Below are 22,321 nucleotides of genomic sequence, written 5' to 3'. Positions count from 1 at the left end.
GAACAGTTATTTAAAAAAAAAAAAAAGGAAGAGAAGCAGTATCTGAGAAGACAATGCCTGGAAATTTTCCAAAAATAAGAAACCAAGTCACCAATTCAAAACACAAATACAACTCCCACTGCCCCCATCCCTGCCCCCACACACATCTAGGCATATGAGAGTCAGAAAAAGGTCCTATAGATTACCTCCAAAAGAACAACTATTAGACTGTAAGTTGACTTCTCAACAGAAGCAATGAAAGCCAAAAGACAGAGATGTTTTCTAAGTACGCAATGAAAATAAGTCCTAAATAAAACTCTATGCCAGTGTAAATATCCTTGAAAAATAAAGGTGAAATAAAGATATTTCCAGAGAATAAAACCTGAGACAATCTGACATCAGCAGAAAACCCATGTTAGAGAAAGTAAACTTAAGGATATTCTTTAGGCAGGAGAATGATTCTAGATTTATGTCTGGGGATGGAGGAAGAAATAAAGAGCAATAAAAGGACAGTTACGCTGGTAAATCTGTATGAATATTTATTGCATAAGCTGCAATAAAAATACTGGCTTGTGTGGCTTAATATATATATAGAATTAAAACATGCATTATGGCCAAAACCACAATTACTTTTGCACCAACCTAATAACAACAATAACAGATACATGCTGATCCTTCACTATCAGAGAAGGATAAAAGTATCAATTTATATTAGACCTTGCTAAATTAAAGGACATTGTAATCTCTAGAGTAACCTACTAAACCAAAAAGGAACATAATTCTATGTAACACATATAGATGGGAAAATATTAAATTATTCAAAACATAATCTAAAGGGCGGCCAAAAAAAAAAGAAAAAAGAACTTAAAACCAGAGTGACAAATACAAAGCACTACTAGTCAGACTAAATCTAAAATGATAGGAATTACATAGGGGTTAAGTTCTCCAATTAAAGGTCAAAAATTGTCAGACTGAAAATAAAAACTAACAGCTATATGCTGCTTACAACTAACTATATGCTGCTTACAAAAGACATATCTAAAAGATAAGATACAAAATGACTGAAAATAAAAGAATGGAGAAACATACACCATATAGTTCTACCAGCAATGTGTAAGGATGCTGATTTGTCCAGGAACTCACTAGAGTACATTGTCCAAGTCTGCATTTTTGTAAATTTGATAAATAGTAAATAATATCCCAGTCTAACTTTAGTCTGCATTTCCACTGAGTAAAGCTGAGTATCTTTTCAAATACTTGGGAATCATTTTCTGTAAACTGTTCATCTCTCTAATCTATTTTCCAATAGGATTACTTTTTTTTTTTTTTTTACTATTTTTAAATAAACATTTTATGTACTAGGTAATGTATACTAAAATCATTTTGTTATACCACTATATATCACCTAAGTGGCTAAAATTGAAAATCAAAATTAAAAGGCCAAGTGTTATGGAGGATGTGGATTAACAGGAACTCTCATACACTGCCCTCTGGAATGTAAACTGATACAACCACTTTGGAAAACTGCCATTACCTGCTAAACTGAACATATGAATGCCCTATGCTATCCTATTTCTAGGTATATACCCTACACAAATGTGTACATATAGACATAAAGAATGTTCATAGGATAATTATTCCTAATAGCCAGAAACTGGAAATAACTCAAATGTCTATCAACAGAAGAATGAAAAAATACTGTATAATACCATTTATATAAAGTCAAAAATAGGTAAAACTAATATTGAGTGCTAGAATTCAAGAGTTGTTCCCTCTGGGAAGACAGAGGAGGTAGTGATTAGGTGCATTAGTCCATTCTCGCAACCCTACAAAGAACTACCTGAGAATGGGTAATTTGTAAAGATAAAAAGGTTTAACTGGCTCATGGTTCTGCAGGCAGTACAGGCTTCTGTTTCTGTACCCACCTGTGCCTCTTGGGCACTTTTAATATGGCTAGTCCAAACTGAGACATGCAGTGGAGTATAAAATGCACTCTGGGTTTTGAAGGCTCAGTATGAAAAAACAGAAAGTAATATCCTTTAAATAATTTTTAGGTTTTTGATATGTTCAAACAATATTTTTGATTATATGTTAGGTTAAATAAAACATTATGAAAATAAAAAAAGTAAGTGGGAAGAGAAAGGAAGCTGGCACTGGATGAAAAAAGAAACTCTTGAGAAACTGTAATGACCCAAATCTACAGTCTTTTTTTTTTTTTTTTTTTTGAGGCGGAGTCTCGTTCTGTCACCCAGGCTGGAGTGCAGTGACACAATCTCGGCTCCCTGCAACCTCTGCCTCCTAGGCTCAATCCATCCTCCCACCTCAGCCTCCCAAGTAGTTGGGACTACAGGCATGCGCCACCACGCCTGGCTAATTTTTCTTTTTTTTTTCTGTAGAGAGAGGGTCTCACTTTGTTGCCCAGGCTGGTCTCGAACTCCTGAGCTCAAGTTATCCCAGCACTGGCCTCCCAAAGTGCTGGGATTACAGGTGTGAGCCACCACGCCCGGCCCCTACTGTCTATTTAAGGCCTACATTAATCTGAGTTGTGCTAAAAACCTAATCAGATATTTTAAAGGGGCCCTGGCTTATAAATGCCAGCTAGCTAATTAACTAGGCTACTGGTAGAAGCAAAGGCAAATCCTTATCAGAAAACTGCAATTTCAATCCCGGCTTCAAAAAAATTCTCACAGAAATCCTCAAAGAATATAAATTTATAGTCAAACAAATATTTTTTAAAAAAATTAGGTGCCATGGGTGAGACCTAGCTCAAGTAATAGATGGCAGAATCAGATGCTGCAAATCATCTGCAAGTTTAAATTATCAGAAGCAGAATGAAAAACAATTATATTTAATATGTTTCAAGAAAAAATTCTAGAGACTGTTTAAGAAACATTTATAAGATCTGAAAAATTATACTTTCTAAAACTGAAAATAAAACAATAAAACTCTAAATTCAATTGGATAGTTTAGACACAGCTGGCAGACTGTCACAGAATCTTAAATTATCTAGAGTTTAGCCCAGAAACACTGAGATACAAAATATGAAATTAACGTTAAAAGATTTGGAGAACAGAATAATCTAACATACACTAGGAATTTTGGAAGACGATATAAGAATAGTGAAGAGGCAATATTTGAAGAAACACTGGCTAAGTATTTCTCTGAATTGCTTAAAGACACCAAACCTCAGATTCAGAAAGCCCAATGCAATCTAGGTAAATTTTTCAAAATTACACCCACTATCATAGTGATACTGCCAAGCGGCAAACATAAAGAGAAAATGGAAGACGAGCCAGGAATAACATATCACCTATAAAGGAAGAGCCAACTACCGACTTTTCAACAGCAAAAATGTAAGACAGAATATAAATAAAAAAGTTTTTTTTTGGGGTTTTTTTTTTTTTTTTTTTTTGAGAGACTCTCACTCTATTGTTCAAGCTGGAGTGCAATGACGTGATCACATCTCACTGCAGCCTTGACCTCCCGGGCTCAACTGATCCTCCCACCTCAGCCTCCTGAGTAGCTAGGACTACAGGCACATGTCACCATGCCTGTCTGATTTTTTCTTATTTTTGTGGAGATGGGTCTCGCTACATTGCCCAGGCTGGTCTTGAACTCCTGGCCTCGAGCCATTCTTCCACCTCAGCCTCCAAAGTATTGGGATACAGGCATGAGCTACTATGACCAGCAAAAAAGTTCTTTAACGTGCTGAAATCATGTTCCAAAACCAAGGGTGAAACAACACACATATCAGACAATCAAAAACTCAGAATTCACTACAAAACAGATTCCCAAGTAAAACATATTCTAGGTATGCTGAATATATTTCAGGCAGAAAGAAGATCATAAGGAGAAAATCTGAAAGCACAGATATTGGTATACATATATACATATTTTATATATATATATATATATAGAGAGAGAGAGAGAGGGAGAAATCTAAATAAAAACTAAATGAACAAAAGAGTATCTCAACATGGGGTTTAAATAGAGAACTGTGCCGGGTGTGATGGCTCACGCCTGTAATCCCAGCACTTGGGGAGGCTGAGGTGGGCAGATCACCTGAGGTCAGGAGTTCCAGACCAGCAGCTTGGCTAACATGGTGAAACCCCGTCTCTACTAAAAATACAAAAATTAGCTGGGTGTGGTGGTATGTGCCTGTAATCCCAGCTACTTGGGAGGCTGAGGCAGGAGAATCGCTTGAACCCGGGAGGCAGAGGTTGCAGTGAGCCAAGATTGTGCCATTGCACTCCAGCCTGGGCACAGAACGAAACTCTATCTCAAAAAAAAAGAAAAAGAAAAAAAAAATTAGAGAACTGAAGTAATGTATTAATACAACCATTTTAAGTGAGTGGGAGTGGTAATCACAACTAAAACATTTTAAGGTTCTAAATATTATTATTATTAAGAAGGAGGCTATAAATATTGCTTAACTTAGTCTGTGTTAGATATACATGTTAAAACATCTAGAGTAAGCTCAAAAAGAACATACACAAAGAATTTAAGTTCCAAAGTAACAAAGGGCAAAATGTGGAATAACAAAAAGTAAAAGAGTTTATAAAAAACAATTTCTTAGAGAAGCTTTTTCTCAAAACTCAAGAGAAAACAAAGTGTTTGAAAGAAAAACACATAAAGATAAAATTCTCTCTGAAACCAACATTAAGGGAAAAAAAGAATCAACATTTCAATCATGCTTTGAAAATACCTTTGCCACTCTAAAATACTTACACTAGAAATGTTAAGATACAGCAATTTTATTTCACCACTAACAATTATGACTAAAGCTTTATGAGAGACTATAAATAATGGCTTACTTGTTGCATAATAGCTGTGGAAAATATTTCTCAGGTTGCTAATAGTTCTGTAATTAGTATGCTACTTATTTTCTAATATAAAACAGAAAATACTTGCTTGCCTTTTTATCTTCAGGGTTTAGTTGATTCATTAACATATTGACATTCTCAGTATTCCAAACCCAAGAATTACTTGTGAAATATTCAAGAAACACCATAGCTTTGTGAAGACGAGTTATTGTTTTCATCATCCTGTATTGTAAGAAAAATGGACAGATTCATATTTTGTATAGATTAGGAAAAATCCTATCACCACCCAGGGTGCAAGTTTCCCCCTATAATATAGACATTAGTATTAAAATTATAACATTTAATCATTAAGTGTACCAAATCAGCAGGGAATAAGACTATTTCTGCATCTTGGATGAACAATTTATAAATCCAAAAGGAAAACAAATTTTTTTTGAAAGCAGCAGCAAATGCATTTAATACCACCTAAACAGAGTTCTGCTGATATACAGAATTAATTCTCAAAGGGTATACAATACTCTTAAATTTTCTACATAAAATACTAAGCAAATGAATGGATTCAATTAATATTTCCTTGCTTTCTATTCCTTAAACTACATTTTAATTCACAGCTGCATTTGCTAAGATTTCCTGTGAATTAATAACATACTGTGTTATATTTATAATTCCAACTCTTCAGCACTGCTGAAGCAAACAATACAGAAATATTCGTTTGCCACATAGTCAACTCTATTCATTTAAAAAAACAAAACAACTTTTCTTTAACAATGATTGGCACCACTCTTGATCATCTGGATGTGCTGTGAAATCAATGACTCATGCTGAAAACTATCTGAAATAGATATCCACTCACCTCTCCATACCCCACCAATACTCATCCTTACAGAAATAAAGGAGTGTGACACTCTTTTTAAAGTGTGTCTTTAAAGAAAGACTGTGATTCTTTGTTTTTAAAAGTACAAGGAGCTTTAATCTTTAAATCTGTCATTTTATATATCATGGCTCACTGTAAGTCATTGATATCATAACACTAACTTGAGCAGTAACATCTATACAATAATATTTATTATAAGTAGGGAAAGGGAAGAAAGAACTTTCTGAAACAAAACAAACACCAAAAAAATCCCCACTTCTGTGAACAGAAAAAGAATTTTTGGAGAAGTACTTTTTAAAGATTTCATTTATATTATAATAACGATTAGGATTATATGTATCATGTAGTTTAGACAGTCTCAAAATTAGGGGTTTTAGAAATGGGAGGGGCATGGAGGGAAATTACATTAGAAATAAGGAGAAAAAAATCAAAAAAGTATCATTAGCTAAGCACTTCTGATAACACAATTCAATACATTTAGAAATAAACTCTGAATCCAGAATACTGGAAGAAAATGAAGCAATATAAACTATGTAAAAAAAAACTATATTTCATCCAATAAAGTAACTTCAAAATAAAATCTCAAACACAAAACGAATTATCAAGCATCTAAGGCAATTTCTGGACAGGGATAGTTCTGTAGATAAAAAGCATCTGGGGGAAAAACACATGCTGCTCTTAGAAAAGATTAGGTGATTATTTTTTTCTAAACAAAAAGATACAACAAGTTTGTCACTACATCAATATATACTATCACGCCAGTTTAGCATACTTAAATCTCACACACACACACAGCTAACACGGTTTTCCTATATATACCTTATTAAAAAGTTTTTCTTAACTCTTGTTCACTGATAATTCTCTCACCTAATCTTATCTTCAGATTCATTCAAGTGACACAATCACCCTAACATCAATCAGTAATTCAGCCATTCAAAAAATAATTGCAATAAAAAATCGGGGAGGGGGAAGAAATTTGAAAGGCCATATATTTGTGTGTGAAATTTATAGAATATTTATCATGCAACAAAAATACTGGATTGAAAACTATTGGGGAATAAGAAATGTAAAACTTTGCACCATCACTCCTTGGTTAAACATACCTTAGAACAGATGTTTATGACTACATTGCCAGGTATGTTCTGAATATGTATTTATTCTTTATTATGGCAACTTAAAAAAATAATCACAATCCTTTAGAGTAAGGCAAGATCTTAATGATTATCTAGTCCAGGGTTTCTCAACCTTGGCACTATAAATATTGTGGGTCTGATCATTCTTTCGTGTGGAGGGCTATCTTGCATGCTATAAGATGCTTGTCACCATCCCTGGCCTCTAGGTGCTGGTAGCAGCCCTCCCCCTGTTGTGATAACTAAAAATACCTGCAAATGTTGTCAAATGTCTCCAGCTGAGAAGTACACAGATTAAAAATAGATACCTGGTTTAGAGAAGTTAAGCTAGATAAAGTTATGCTAGTTAACCAAAACATAAGATCATGGAGCCATTTTTTAAAAAATGTCAGGTCAGATGCTTATCTAGCTCACATTCAGAATTATTATGTAAACAAGTAAACTGGATGAAATGAATGACATGACTGACATCAGTTTAATGTAGAATTAGGCATCATAGTAAGGCCCCAATATAAGGTGTAAAGTCTATTACTGTGCTCAATAAATTTCTGAACAAATGAAATATTATAAATTATAAGACTTTGTATTTAACATTTACAAAATTGTCTAAGTAAAAAAACCTTTATATTCCTTGTTGCATTCAGATTATAAGCTCCCGGAGGTCAAGGATCTGTCCTGCTTTGATACTTAGAAAGCCTCACACAGCACAAACCTCAGTTAAGAAGACTGTTTCCTTAACGTTTCCTATTTAGGAAAGATATTAATTTCCAAAGGTGCCTATGATATTATCTCCATCCTACATGCCCACCTACAATACAATGTCACCTTGACTGTCTTCTCAATGAGAGTTGAAAATAACTTAGAACCAACAGAATGAGGTGGAAGTGACATGATGTGACTTCCGAGGCTAGGTCAGAAAGGTGTAGAGCTTTCTGTCTTGCTCACTGAATACTCACCCTTGAAGCCTTCAGTCACTGTGTATGCTGTCCAACTCCCCCTGAGGCTGCCATACTGCGAGGAAGCTCAAACTAGTCCATATGGAGAGGCCACATGGAGAGGGTATGACACTACTGGAGAGAGAGAGATGCCCAGCCACCCCAGCTACTCTGTCCCCTTCCCCCCTTTACCACTCCCTCCACAGCAAAGTTCCTCCAGTCCCTGTCTGACTACAATCATTTGAAAGATCCTGAGCCATTACCATCAAGCTAACCCTTCTAGAATTCCTGACCCACAGATATTGTGACACACAAATAAAATGATTGCTTTAAGACACTAAGTTTGAGGTGACTTGTTATGTAAAACAGATTAACAAATCTCAACACAGATCTCAACACTGGGAGGGGCTGCTATAATAAAAACCTAAAACATGTGGTATTGGCTTCAGGGTCAAGTGGTAAACAAAATCTCTAAGGCCTGTGAGGTGATCAGTAGTGAAATGTGAAAGGACCAGGAAAACATTATTAATGGAAGCCTTAAAGGGTTTTAAGAAAGCTGTTGGTGAGGGCTTGAAGTGAGGACAACAAACTGTCACCTCTGGTTATATGGAATATAGAAAGTGTACTAATAAACTCAATGATCTAGCAGAAATTTGCTGAAAGAGGGCAAAAGAGGACAAAGATGATCTTAAAAAAATGAACTATTTGAGTGGAATTTGGAGGAAATGTAAAATGTCAGCCAGGAATTCTTTAAGAAACAGTTTCTGAGCATAGCAGGGTAGGGGAAGATGAATCCTTTGCTAAGACTTTAGAAAGACCTAGGCAGTGCCTTCCAGAACTTTCAGACAGACAAAAGGCACTCTCCAGATCTTAAAGAAATGTGTAACAGAAACTCTTATTGTTCAAAAGGCAGGATCTAAGAGGCAAGGATTTAAGATCTAAAAGTGCTGTCCCATAGGAACCTCACAGGGGACCCAAGATAGAGAAGGGTTTGTGTCAAAGAAACTTATGGGTATGGCTTTCGTCTAATAGGCTGGATTCCTTGAAAACAGATACACCGGAAACTCACACAATTTTTAAGCAATCATGTCAGATTACATGTAAAGGGATAGACAAGAAAAAAAAAATGAAGAGACTGCTATATCAAGGGTCAGCAAACCAGAGCCTATATACCAAATCCAGCCCACCACCTGTTTTTGTAAATAAAGTTTTACTGGGACACAGTCATATTCATTCATTTGCCTATTGTCTATGGCTGCTTTCATTTTTAACAGCAAAGATGAGTAGCTTCAACAAAAACCGCATGTCCTGCTAAACCTAAAATATTTACTATATGGCCTTAATTTACAAGAAAAGCTTTCCAGTTCCTGCCCTGATCCCCTAACCTTTCATGGGCACGAAGCAGGATAAGAAGGCTACTTGGCTGCACACAGAGCCCACAGGCCAGTTTTTATGCAAAAGGAAGGATGACTCAGAGGGCAGAGGCAAGAACCTCAGAGAACTCCCAGAGAATAAGACTGAGCTCCTTATCAAGAAATCATCAACACATATCTGACTGGAATTCAGAAATGTTATAGACCAGTGTTTGCTGGGTGCCTCCCAATTTCTCTCTTTTTGAATAAAACTGTCTAAAGCCATTATCCTATGCTTACCATCATTTATGATGGGCGTATGGGCAGTCAGTAACTCGTTGCTTTAGTTCACATATCAATTATTGAGGAACTATACTTGAGGAGCTATGCTGACAAAATCACTCCTAAAGAGCGTCATCCGCCAATTGACCAGATTTAGATGACAAAACCCTGGCTTCCAGCTGATGCCACAGGGATCTGGGGCGGTGGTGGGGATGGGGAGGCGCGAGGGGGAAGGCAGGATGAGTGGGGAAGAAGCAACTGTCCTTTCCATGTAGAAGAAATATGAATTGTTTTGGCCAGAAGGTTGACTATAGCAGATTGTACTTTCCAAAAATGATGGCAACAATACCCTTCATCTTGACCACTTTCTAAATCCCCTTACTTGGACACAGGGTGGGGAATATCACACACTGGGGGCCTGTCGTGGGGTGGGGGGAGGGGGGAGGGATACCATTAGGAGAAATACCTAATGTAAATGACAAGTTAATGGGTGCAGCACACCAACATGGCACAAGTATACATATGTAACAAATCTGCACGTTGTGCACACGTACCCTAGAACTTGAAGTATTTTTAAAAAATGTGCTATGTCAGGCACCAAAATAAAATTATGAACATATGAAAAAAAATTTAAGAAGATTTGTGACTCACTTGTAACTAGAAGAATGAGGCAAAAGTGATGCTGCATGACTTCCATGGGTAGCTCAGAAAAGGCAACGCAGCCTCCACCTTACTTGCTAAAAGACTTCCCCCTTGAAGCCATCAGCTGCTATATAAGAAGTCTAATTCCCCTAAGGCTATCATTAATCCTTGCAAAGAGCTATATGGAGAGATCCTTATGACACGACAAAGAGTAACATCAGTCCCCTTGCTGTTCCATTGCCTCTCTGCCCACCGGCCTCTTTCATCTGATCACAAACACATGAAAGACTCCAAGCCAAAACTGCCCAGTGGATTCTTTCTCAAATTCTTGATCCTGACAGAAATAATTGAAAGAAATAATAAAATAACTGTTGCTGTTTTTAGCTTCTAAGTTTGAGATGATTTGTTATGCAGCAACATCTCCTCTGAAGCATTTAGTAAACCAGCTATTCACTTATTTTTTTAAAATTTTACTAAGCCCTCTTTCTTCGTGTAAGGCAATGTGATGTATTTAACCTGTTTTTTTTTTGACCCAGTTTTTACTTTTCTGTCCTAAATTATAACAACCTTATTAATATAAAGAAAGCATGCACTGCCACCATTCATGAATTTACATCTGCATTTTAGCCATGAAGAATGCTTCCAATGGCAAGTATTGCATTTTGCAGATCATTCTAGAAAAGTCTGAAAATATTTCTTTACCTGCTCTAAAGTTGTTCAACACCTCTCACATATTTCAATTAGCTAACATATAGGGTTAGAAACATCATGGAAAAGTGAATCCACAGACAATACCTACGAGGAACTCAGATCCTGATACACTGTAACTGGCAGTTACCTCACTTTTATTTTTTGAGTAGTTGATGGAAGTTCTGGGATCAGCATCTTCTTTATACAAAAATACTCAAATCCTGAACTCTCCAATCAACGACTCCACTGTAATGCCAATGTAGTTAAAAAAAATTAAGTATTTTAATAGTATATTCCACTGTAATTGTGTGGTAAAGACAGTAGGAGATCTTTAAGTTTGCGGGATTTCAACAAAAAAAAGAAAGAAAAGCTATAACAACGATAAGAAAACAAAGTTTTCTGTTTATTATTAACTTTTTTTTCATAACTATGCCATTCCCAACCTGGATAATTAGTCAAAAACTGAAATAACCATATTATAAGCTGAATGGGCAGCTGAGATATTTCAAGTAATTTTCTAGAAGCATCCTATATTTTTCACATAAAACTGCACCATCCATTTGAAGCAAAACTTTTGCCCTTAATCCCCTATACAAACTCATCCCTAGGTTTTTAAGAGGGAGAGAAGGGCTTAATTTCAGCTTATAATAACAATGACAACCATGATGTAGGACATTTCCTATATTATGGAATTTTGGAGGATGAACGACCCAATACGATGTGATCCATAGTTAGTGTCCCCAAAGATCTCCAAATTCTAAGAAATGTCCTAGCATTCTGATTGTGATTAATCAGGTGAGTAAATCTAAAGGTAAAGCTCATGCTAGTGATTTTTTTCATCTCTCCAGCAAGCTGCCACCACCTTACCAATACATAGTGTATTTACTGCTATTCTTCTTACCGCGGTTTCTGACCTGTCAACATGAGTGCAATCGAGCAATAATGCAGATACTCTATGGCTGACACCCTTCCGATAATGATGCGATAGGCTGTTGGAATTAAACTTAAAACTGGGGCACCTGAATACTTGGTTTAAAGGATTCATCTTGAAGGAATGACTTACATAATATCCTGTAGGAAAAATAAGCGTCAAAGCAATTTAAATATTGTTATTCAGAAAGAAGCCTAAAGTAAGACTTAGAATTCAATACATGACAATAACTTATCCAAACTTTAAACAAATTAGAGTGACTTACAACACTACCTTTGCTTTTCTGACAAAGTCTTAAATTCAAGAGGCTTCTCATTCACAAAAGGCTATTAAGCCTTATCATAAGCATAAACAAATACAGAGTTAATATGCATTTTAGTGTAAGCATGGGTTGTTTAACAGAGGAACAGATAAGACAGAGCTAGTCACCATTACCTTGGGCTTCTTCCAGTCATCCTGAGGTAGATATCATACAGGAATGCTGGGGCCTTATGGCTTACAGCAATCCAGTAATGATATAAAAGATGATTGGAGGTTAGATTTACATTGGGCCGTCTGAAGGCCTGTTCGAGAGGATTCCTCTTGAAAGTGGAAATTACATGGTACTCTGAAGAAGAAAAGTTGTGTAACAGCTTTGATAATAACCATGTAATGAAGTTTTGAAAAAAAAAAATCATGTTTTTATAATGCAAAATATTTTACCAAAGATGTCAGAGTTCGTACATTTAAAAAACAAACTTTTCTACTCTCTAGTAGCTAAGAGAATATGGTTATTAGACTGCTAAACTCAAGTGGTTTTGTAACTGCCGCTATTTATGAATTTTAGATGAATGAATTTTTGCTAAAATTCACTCTTAAAATCCTTTTAATGTTTTACCTATGTCAGTTTACAGTGTCACTTTCTATATTTCACCTCTCACGATAGCTTCTTCCTTTCTGTTCCTCTTTCCAGACTCTTATTACTGTACTTACTTAAAAAAGAAAAGGAAAATAATCATCCTTTGCTTAAGATGCTCAAATTAACATACATTAACAGGCTTAAAACAACCCAAAATTAACTTCTGTTGTAATTTATATAGGCTATGTAATGTCAACATAATCAAACCTAGTATCATCTATATTAATACTTTACTAGAAATGTATATTGAGATAGTCACTAAAATATAACGCTCAATTTCAGCTTTTACTAAACTTTATAACACAATAAAAGATTACAAAAAAACCTAACTCATTAAAAATGTTTAAATATTCTTAAAAGAATACTGAAAATAATTATCATAAAGTTAAAATCACCTTAGATTTTATCTTTTTCTTATATGCTCTAATGGTCAATTTTACACTGAAATAAAAATGCCACAGAAAAATCCTAGGACAAATGTCATAAAAAATCTACATTGAAATCAAAATTGTTCTGCAGGGGTAATTAATCAATTAGAGGTTAAATAAGACCTATCACTAAATCAATGCCAAAAAAATTTTACTTTAAATTTGAACTCATCAACCAACAATTTAAAATTGACTCAATTTCAATGGGTTTTAACTATTCCTATTTAAGTTATGCTATTCCTATAGAACTAGGAACATGTATATCTGCTGTGAATCTGTGAATTTAAATAGATTAATACAGGTTAATAGAAAATATTCTGGCAAACTGTATCCTACTTCCTAACTCCTTCATTTATTACTCTGGGTACCACTTGATATACCACCTCTTGTAAGAAGTGATACTGCCTATGGATAGGCAACATCAAGACTGAGGGTGCTCACAAGGGAGAAAAAAAGCACTGTTCCCATGCCATAGGTATCTACGAGGGCTACTGCAGATGGCAGGAGAAAAACAGCAAGGCTTAGACAAGGGTAGGGTGGGTGGGTAAGAATAGACAGCAGTATATTTTTAAATTTGTGAAACATTATTAAGGACCACAAGGTAGTATTGGTAGATAATACTTCTAAGACGACAATTAAGAACAAATTGGTAACTCAGTGGCCTTAATGCCTCATAGGTATTCTAACATTAAAACTTCAGGGAACTTGGTTCTTTAAGATTTATTCTAACATTCAAAAACACAGGTAAAATCATACCAACTTCACCCCAGTGGAAAGGATTAGTGCTGCCTGTTGTACAATTATACACCATGATGTTTCTTGGTCTGCAAAGACAAAGATGAAACCAATTAATCATAATAAGAGGCCAAACATATCCAATCTAAGTCCTACATAGTATTCAAGAAGACATGAGGATGATGGGCACCTTTTCTATACTATTTTTTTTTAATTATCCTTAAAGGATTAGTTTTTACTTTAATGACTATTTACAACTACCCTTTCTTCTTCCCCTACCAAAAATAATAACTTATTTTAAAAAATACAGACTTTTTTCTTTCACATTTTTCCTCCTTATATTAGCAGGAATGTCTATTTTTAAACACGAGGAAAACAACAAATGACCTCAGCTCTTCTTGTCTCATTTTCAGAGGATCTAGCTGAAAAAAAATTATGGACTAAGTTTCCTTTTGCCAGAAACAACATATTCATATAATCCTATCTCTCTTTTTTTAGGACAGAAAATACTGATTATCAAAAATAAGGGTAGTTTACTACCTAGAAAAAAAAAGTTATTGGGAAGTTTAAAGTTTAAGTGTTACCTGTAAATGCTACTATTATTTTTTAAAGGAAAGATGTTCATGGGCTGATTAAAGCTGCTCTGGTGTACCATGTTTAATATATGTAAACCATATTCTGTGAATTTCAGCTCTTTATATATTCAACAAGTTTTAGTTTGGATTAAAAAATCATGCTTAGGGGAGGGTATTTTTTTTTTTTTCATTTTTAAGTGAACTTGTCTATCCTGTAAGTAATACATGAGCATTAACATTAATTCTTCATTACTACTGATGGGAGCACTTGCTATTGTCTGTGATAATACCAACTCTTGGAGTTGGCAGTGATACAGCCTAAATATTGGTATGGCAATATCTGGATAGAGGGATTAATTAACATTACTCAAAAGCTATGTCTTCCCTTTTCAGTTACTATATATTTAATAAGCGACATTGTCACCTCATATACCTATTAACTCCGGAATACCAGGCTGCCGCAAGACTCATGTTGACAACTACATCTACAGGAACAAGATCTGCAAGGGCATTGTTGGAGGCACGTATTGTTCGAAGAATTCCTTTCCCTGCCTTTGTTGAAATTAAAAACAACACCTTAAGATATATAAGCCATAGTGTATATATATTTAAAGATATACAAAAAGCAGAAAAATGTATAGAATATTAAATAAATCAAAAGGTTTACTTACCGCAATAAAGAGACCACTTGGTCCATTAAAGTTATCAATCCATCCCTAATACCAAAAATTTTAAAAGGGAGAGAAGCTTAGAAACATTATGAAGCTAGAGATTTATTATTTGAACTCTACAACCCCAAATATATACTTGGTAGCTGTCTTCTAAAAACTAAAAAACAGACTAGATTCAGGCCAGACTATTTCTACCAGTCCCAAACAGAAGCAGTCTTCCTCTGGGATCAAAAATAATTGAGTAAAATCATTTTCAAAGGGCTACCTACTACTCTTCCATTAACTCTCTGCAAAGAGAAATTTATAAAAGAGGGTTTATATTGTTGAATATTTTTACAAAATTAAGCTTGTTCAAGTTTGATTTTATGCTATTTACTAATTCAATAGCCTGAGATTAGGGAAAATGGTAAATCCTCCTCAAAATTATGAATAAAACAGAGAAAAATAGAATAATTGTCAAAGCAACAACAGATGCTATCACTTACTACCATTACACAGACCTAGGTTTTGCCTAAATCAATTGACCCAACTGGTTTATATTTCTGCTTTCTCTCATTCCAGGAATTCACAAATACCCTAACACCCTGTACCTTTTTTACTTTGTGATCTACAGAGGAAGGGGTCTACCTCCTGGAAGGTCTGCCTCTTTTTGCTACTAAGAAACAAACCAAATCTCCTCTGACTTAAGAAAATGTCACAGCTTTTAATTTTCACTTAGGATTTTTTAAATGTTGATCTACATTTCTATATACCCAGCGTCACATTATAGAAATGAAAGTACCAATAAAATTAACTCTATGAACACAAAACAGCTTTGCCATGGTAATTCACCTTTAGTAAATAATACCTGTTCTTAAAGAACTGCCAGCTCTTTTTATACAGAGTTACAACTTAAAATTCTCAACTCCAGTTATTTATAAAGGTTTCTAACAACTTACTGGAAAAGGTTCTTTCCAACTGGCACCAACAATCGATGGCCTTACAATTGCCACATTTAGTTTTGCTCCTTCTTGTTGTACAACATATTCTGCCAATGCTTTTGTGTATATGTATGTATTAGGTCTGTCTCCTATCAATTTTGGCGTGATATCATTTACTAGGCCATCATCCATCCACCTGGTAAAGAAATTGCATACAAATATATTTCCAGATATTTTACTATAAAATAAAAAGCTACTTAATTGAACTTCGCACATTCAAACATATCTGCTGTTCTGACTCAAATCATTTGACAACTTTTACTGAAAAATGGAACTTAGTCTTATTTTTCTTAAACATCAACTACAGGTCCACAATCCCTTATCTGCAATTTCTGTATCCAAAAAGATCTGAAAACTAAGAGTTCTTTCATAAATCATACAGTGGATAGCAAAATCTGATCTACACTGACTTATGGTCTTTTTTTTGATACAACTTAAACATTCATATATTTTACATGTATTTGATCAGGGATACTAACCCAGATCAAGTTAAAGTTTTTTCTTATTACACAGTACATAAATTATATACCCTCTCTAAAGTCCAAATAAATTCCAAAATATATCTGAAACCTTCTGGAAGTTTGCAGGTTAGGAAATACAGATCTGTATATAACCACCTAATGAAGTAACATGTTAATTATATACAGTTATAATTAACATACATTTATAATGAACACAAAAGGCATAAAAGGCCTAGTATTTAAGGTGCAGCACTGCAAATCATATGCTCTAATGAGATTAACAAATGCTATGATGAACAATAAAAATAAATTGAAGCATGCTATAAAAATTCAATTAGCAACCTACTATGAAGTCAAAAAAATTCCTCCAGTTCTCTTTGAAGAAATGGTCTACTCTGTTCATCTGTAAAAGGAGGGCGATATACTAGGTGGTGTCCATGGTTTTTCCTAAACTTCTGATTCTAATACATTATGTACTTGTTTTTACTTCTTGTCAATAATGCTGTGTATGCAAGTAGACTCAGTATATTGTCATACTCTAATGATACCCATACTAATTGATAAGAAAGCATAAAACAGAGATTATCAAGATAAAATTTTCTTCTGTATATGGAAGTACTTTTTGTATATGAAAGGAAAAGAACATCAATTAAATTGAAGGGAAATTGCTACCCAACTTAGGAAAAATTCCACCATGGAGATGAGATTTGAAAAATGAAAGGGATAGTTGATACATGAGGAAAAAAAAACCTGCCTAAACTCAGGAGAAACTTTAGCTAGTAAGCCTTATTACTAGAACGAGTTTACAGAACAAACCCATGAGTTATCTTAAAATTATGTTAGCTAGATTTCTTTGCAGCAAGGAAAGGAGATACAGCATTAGCTTACAAGTTCTTTTTCAGTTTCTCAAATGTTTGTATATATTGTTAGTAAGAGAAAAAGTAAAATGCTCCATTAACTTTCACACTCAACTTTTCCCGCAGATATTAAATATTTCTGTTTATTGATCTATGAAGAAAATGAAGTAGATATTTGGGACCATCTAAGAAAATGAGTGAGAAAATAGAAATTAGGGAATTACAATGAAAATGTCTTGGTAATTTCTCATTTTTTTTACAATCTATCTGTTTCCTCATATTAGCAGGAAAGCCTTAAAGAAAAGACTGTGCTTATTTTAGGAGAAAGCAGCAGATGTTAACTAAGCAGTCAAAGTGGATAGAATCTCTGGAAAGAAAGAAGACTAAAAGAGGGAAGAATAAAGGAGGAAAAAATTCAAAGATATTATATAAGGATTAACAAACATGAAAATATGGTGGATACTGGAATGTTTATATAATTGTAAAAGTAAAAAAGATCTCTCTTTTTCTTGTCTGAACCTTGTCTGTTTGATGAGAAAGCCTGAGCTGCAGCAAATGAGAATAAGGTCATGGTATATACTCCCTCATTTAATCCCTATCTATCAATACTCACAAATAATTTTCATGTAACAATTGCTGACAGGATCTCAGTCCTCAGAAAGATAAAAAGTAAGGTTATGAATTAAAAGACTATGATTCCTCTGATTCTCTAATAATTAAAGGCCCCTCTATATATATACTCCATGGCTGGGGGGTGGTGAGGGGAATCCTTTGATAAATTAGAGCCTTGCTATTAAACAGGCAGTCATGGGTCTCCATTGGTACTTCTTGGTTGCTAAGATTGATTCCCTGAAAAAGAGAGCCCCTAATATCACTAATAAGATGTTCAGGAGCCTTCCTCCAAATATTACCATTATACTTGGTCAAAAGTGAAAACTACACATTGACTTCATTAACATTTATTTAGATATTAATCTATACAATAAGAATGCAGGGGATATGCAAAAATTTTTGAAGAAAAGAGATAAATGTATGTGTGTGTGTGTGTGTGTGTGTGTGTGTGCGCGCGCGCGCGCACATGTATATGGGGTGGGGTGAGGAGAAGAGGGAGGGACTTGAATCCAAAGGTTTTTTTTTTGTTTTTTGTTTTTTTGAGACAGAGTTTCACTGTGTTGCCCAGGTTGGAGTGCAGTGGCGCCATCTCGGCTCACTGCAACCTCTGGGATTCAAGCAACTCTCCTGCTTCAGCCTCCTAAGTAGCTGGGACTACAGGCGCCTGCCACCATGCCTGGCTAATTTTTTTCGTATTTTTAGTGAGATGGGGTTTCACTATGTTGGCCTGGCTGCTCTTGAACTCCTGACCTCATGATCCGCCCGCCTTGGCCTCTTTTGGGATCAAAGTAAATGTATATAAATTTCAAACAAACATACTCTAAAGAATCAATCAGCTTCTTGGGATCCACAGGTGGTGGATAGACTACTTCATCAATATGCTTGCGATTACAGTAGGCATATGCTGTTGATACATGCATGAACACTTCCAGATTCTTCATTTGTTGTGCAAGGAGAATAAGCTGTCGCGTTGCAATCACATTTAACTGAACAGCATCTCTGTTTAAAAAGAAAAAGTGACAATAGAAAATTGGGAAGCTATGTTATTTTACCTGTTAAAAATATCATTTTCATTAGAGAAGTAGAGAGACAGAGAAATTTTTGTTTCTTTACAACTTATCCTTTAGCTGTGATTTTGTGTATTTTATTTCCATATTAAATGTTTATCAGCTGTGTTAAAAAAATTTGATTATAAAATAACCTGCCTTGTAGCCCTTAAAAATTAAAGTAGAAATTTAAAAATTATATAATTGTCCAGGAACAAACAGATAATTTCAGTCTTTAGCTTTTATGCATACATTTTTAAGTCATGCTAGACTTATTTTGCATCTTGATTTTTAAAAGTATAATCTTGCATAATATGGATGTGCCACAGGGAGAAAAAAATAGAATGGTTAAGTAATTTTAAAATGTTAACGTAGAGTCACTAATAAGGGTGATACAGCCAGAGAAAACTCAGAAACATTAAATTATATTAACATATAATCAAGAAAGAAGATGTTTATTTTCCTCTTTGTAGCAATCAATCCAAACACTTTTCTAAGGCTACCCTACAAAATTCAAAGGGATATTATAATAAAACTGGTACATCTGTTACAAGGCATATGCAAGACCCCAAAATAATCTATATATTCCCTTCTTGGAATTTACTTGAAGTAAATAATTCCACAAAAGCAAAAGTATATATGCAGAAAAGTTATCAATGAAGCATCATGTAATTAATAAAAACCTAGAGAGCCCAAATATTCACTATGGAATATGGAATGACTCAATAAAGTAAGTATTTTATCACAATGAAAGAATATAGCTACTAAAATAATTATTTGAAGTCTATAAAAATATGAAACATTTGTATGAATAATACCAAAAGAATACATACGATTTTTTTGAAGCAGGATTAAAAACAAGGCTCTGGAATCAGACCTGTGTTCAAATCCTGACTTGGCCTACTTATCAGGACATAAACTGAAGCACTCAGGCCTCAGTTTTCTTACCTGGAAATGGGAACAATAATGAAACCTACCTACTAAGACTGGTATAAAATTAAACAAATAGCTTGCAAACATTTAGCAGTATTTCTAACATAGTCACCAAACAGGCAGTCAACAAATATTCCTTAAGGTAATGAGATGGTGGATAGATTTGCTTTCTATTAAACTTCTGTTTACAGCTTTTAAAAAACTGACCAAGAGATCTATTGTACAACATAGACTATAGTTAATATCAATATATTGTTATTTTTAAAAATTACAAAAAGAGTGGATTTTAGGTATTCTCACCACAAAAAGTATGTGAGATAATGAATATGCTAATTAGCTCATTTGACCATTACAATATATACATATTTCAAAACATGTTGTAAATGAAAAATATATATACCTTTGTCAATTAAAAAAATAAAAACAAACAAACGAAAAGATTTAAATACTCAATATTAGTGACAAAAATGGCAAAGTAATACACTGTTGTTGATACTACAAACTGACACAAATGATTTGAAGGAAACTAGGACAAAGTACCAGGAATTACAGAAATGGTATATTTATTAATCTAGTTAACCTGTTGAAATTAACTCAGAGGAAAAACTTGTTCTAATCCTCATTTTCCAAATAAAAAGAAACTAAAATTCCTTAAAGTTTATTCTAAGTGAATAATACATAAACTGTGGTATGTCAACATGATGGAATATCATCAAATCACTAAAATTATAACTATGGAAAAAATTAGAAATACAGAAATTTTCTATATTGTTTTAAAAGTAAAATTAGAAAGTCTATGTTTATAATAATGAAAAATAATGTTCAAAGGAAATTTTTTAAAAAAAGTTTTCAGTACTTTCTAAAATTCTTATATTTTCAGTATTTAAGAAAAAAATCCAACTATTGTTTTAAAAGACCAGGAGATGTCATAGATAGAATCCAGTCTACTTCACTGTAAAGTGAAGCAGTGCTTTGATGTCTATCACATTTGCAAAACAATGGGGATAGGGAGGGTACTGTTTGGGAGAGGAATACAGAGAATATTCTGTTACAGGTTCCTGAGGACAGGACAAGTTTTGGGTCACCAGGAACAAGGAGTAACTCCAGGAGAGAAAAAAAGTCCTGTGCCATAGTTTCTCTTTTAATTTAATAGTATCCAAGACCCTATGAAAACACACTAGAAATAATTTTTTTAATGAAATAATTGGGTTGAGTTCTTAAAATCATGGATGCATTTTTTTTTCTTCCTTAATTGAGGGAGAAAATCTGTTCAAGTGAAAATCCAACAAGAAAGACATTTCACATAGAGGATACTGTCCACTAGACTATAAGGGAATGCACTATTTTCTTTTGCATTTGCAAAACAATGGGGGCAGGAAGAGCCATGTTTTGGGAAAAGTACACAAAGGATATTCTGTTACATGTCCCTGAGGATGGTGACAGAGTTTCTAGGTCACCGAAAATAAGGGATAATTTGAGAGGAACACTTCTATGCCTTGCCTTTTTCCCTTTGCATCTGTACCTGAGAGCCCAAACCTGAAGCCATTCTGCACCCAAGTGAGTAACATCTAGTATCTCTCTGCCAGGCTAGTTAACCTAACTGTGTTTTACCTCAATCCAATTTCTACTCCATTGACCTTCAGACTGAGACTCTGACATGTTATATCAGAAGTCATTTAGTACTAAACAAAAATAATGTTCTCATTGTTTTGGTTATATGGAGTCATAAATGTATCTTCGGTAAGACAGGCTTTTGGGAGGGGGGTACAAAATGAGAAAGTCTTTGTAATTAGAATCCTTCACTAAATGAAGACATGGAAATCACTTCAAAGAAAAATTTAAAAAGAAAAAAAAGCTCAACGACCTGAAGTGCCAATACATTTTCTTGTTCGTCTTTCTTCTACAGGCATCTTAGGTTTTTCAAAGAAATCTATGTTGATAATACTTCTAAAGACCTTAAACCAGGGTTCTCATACTTGGCATAACATATAACTAGCAGTTTATTAAAAATGCAGACTCCTGGACCTCATCATCAGATACTTTTAACACATGAAATGAGGTCTGAAAGACTATATTTTAAATAAGTTCTCCAGGCCATTTTGACACAAGTCTCTTTTCCACCCTACTGCCCCTGAGAAAATACTGTCTAGATGAGATCTTATCACTACTACTGCCATTTTTTTTAATCTTAATGAAAATATAGACACAGATATTTAGGGAACAATGACGCAATCTTAGGGTAGGGGGCTCAGTCATCTGTAATTTAAAAAATGTCTCCAAAGCTGATTCTGACAGCAATGGTTCTAAAGGGGCAAAACAAGGTGCAACAGTGACTAACACCTAAGGCTCTTGCTAAAAAGAACTCTGGAGTATGATTCCAAAATTAAAAAGTCAAAATTTGGCAAGTGCAGTCTAGGAATATGCATTTTTAACACACTTTCCAGTAATTCTTAAGATTCTTAATACATTCTAAAGTTTGATAATCAA

General features: G+C 34.4%; 1 protein-coding gene across 11 annotated transcripts in view; it reads right to left on the bottom strand.

Annotated features, from left to right (window-relative positions):
* Window positions 1-22,321, bottom strand: part of FAR1 (fatty acyl-CoA reductase 1) — a 63,679-nt gene that overhangs the window by 5,593 nt on the left and 35,765 nt on the right. Inside the window, exons 4-10 of one of the 11 annotated variants that reach the window (NM_001441242.1) lie at window positions 18,675-18,854; window positions 15,884-16,061; window positions 14,946-14,990; window positions 14,699-14,826; window positions 13,721-13,788; window positions 12,074-12,245; window positions 4,895-5,024 (exon numbers count right to left, since the gene is read on the bottom strand). In NM_001441242.1, the coding sequence (NP_001428171.1) occupies window positions 4,895-5,024; window positions 12,074-12,245; window positions 13,721-13,788; window positions 14,699-14,826; window positions 14,946-14,990; window positions 15,884-16,061; window positions 18,675-18,854 (901 nt within the window). Of the gene's footprint in view, window positions 1-4,894; window positions 5,025-6,059; window positions 11,779-12,073; window positions 12,246-12,551; window positions 12,610-13,720; window positions 13,789-14,698; window positions 14,827-14,945; window positions 14,991-15,883; window positions 16,062-18,674; window positions 18,855-22,321 lie in introns of those variants that run through there. The other 10 variants (NM_001441245.1, NM_032228.6, NM_001441243.1 and 7 more) reach the window with 10 other exon arrangements.

Source organism: Homo sapiens, chromosome 11 (assembly GCF_000001405.40).
Source record: "Homo sapiens chromosome 11, GRCh38.p14 Primary Assembly".
Lineage (NCBI taxonomy): Eukaryota > Metazoa > Chordata > Mammalia > Primates > Hominidae > Homo > Homo sapiens.
Note: the sequence above shows the minus strand (reverse complement) of the source record. Positions and strands in the feature narration are given on the sequence as shown.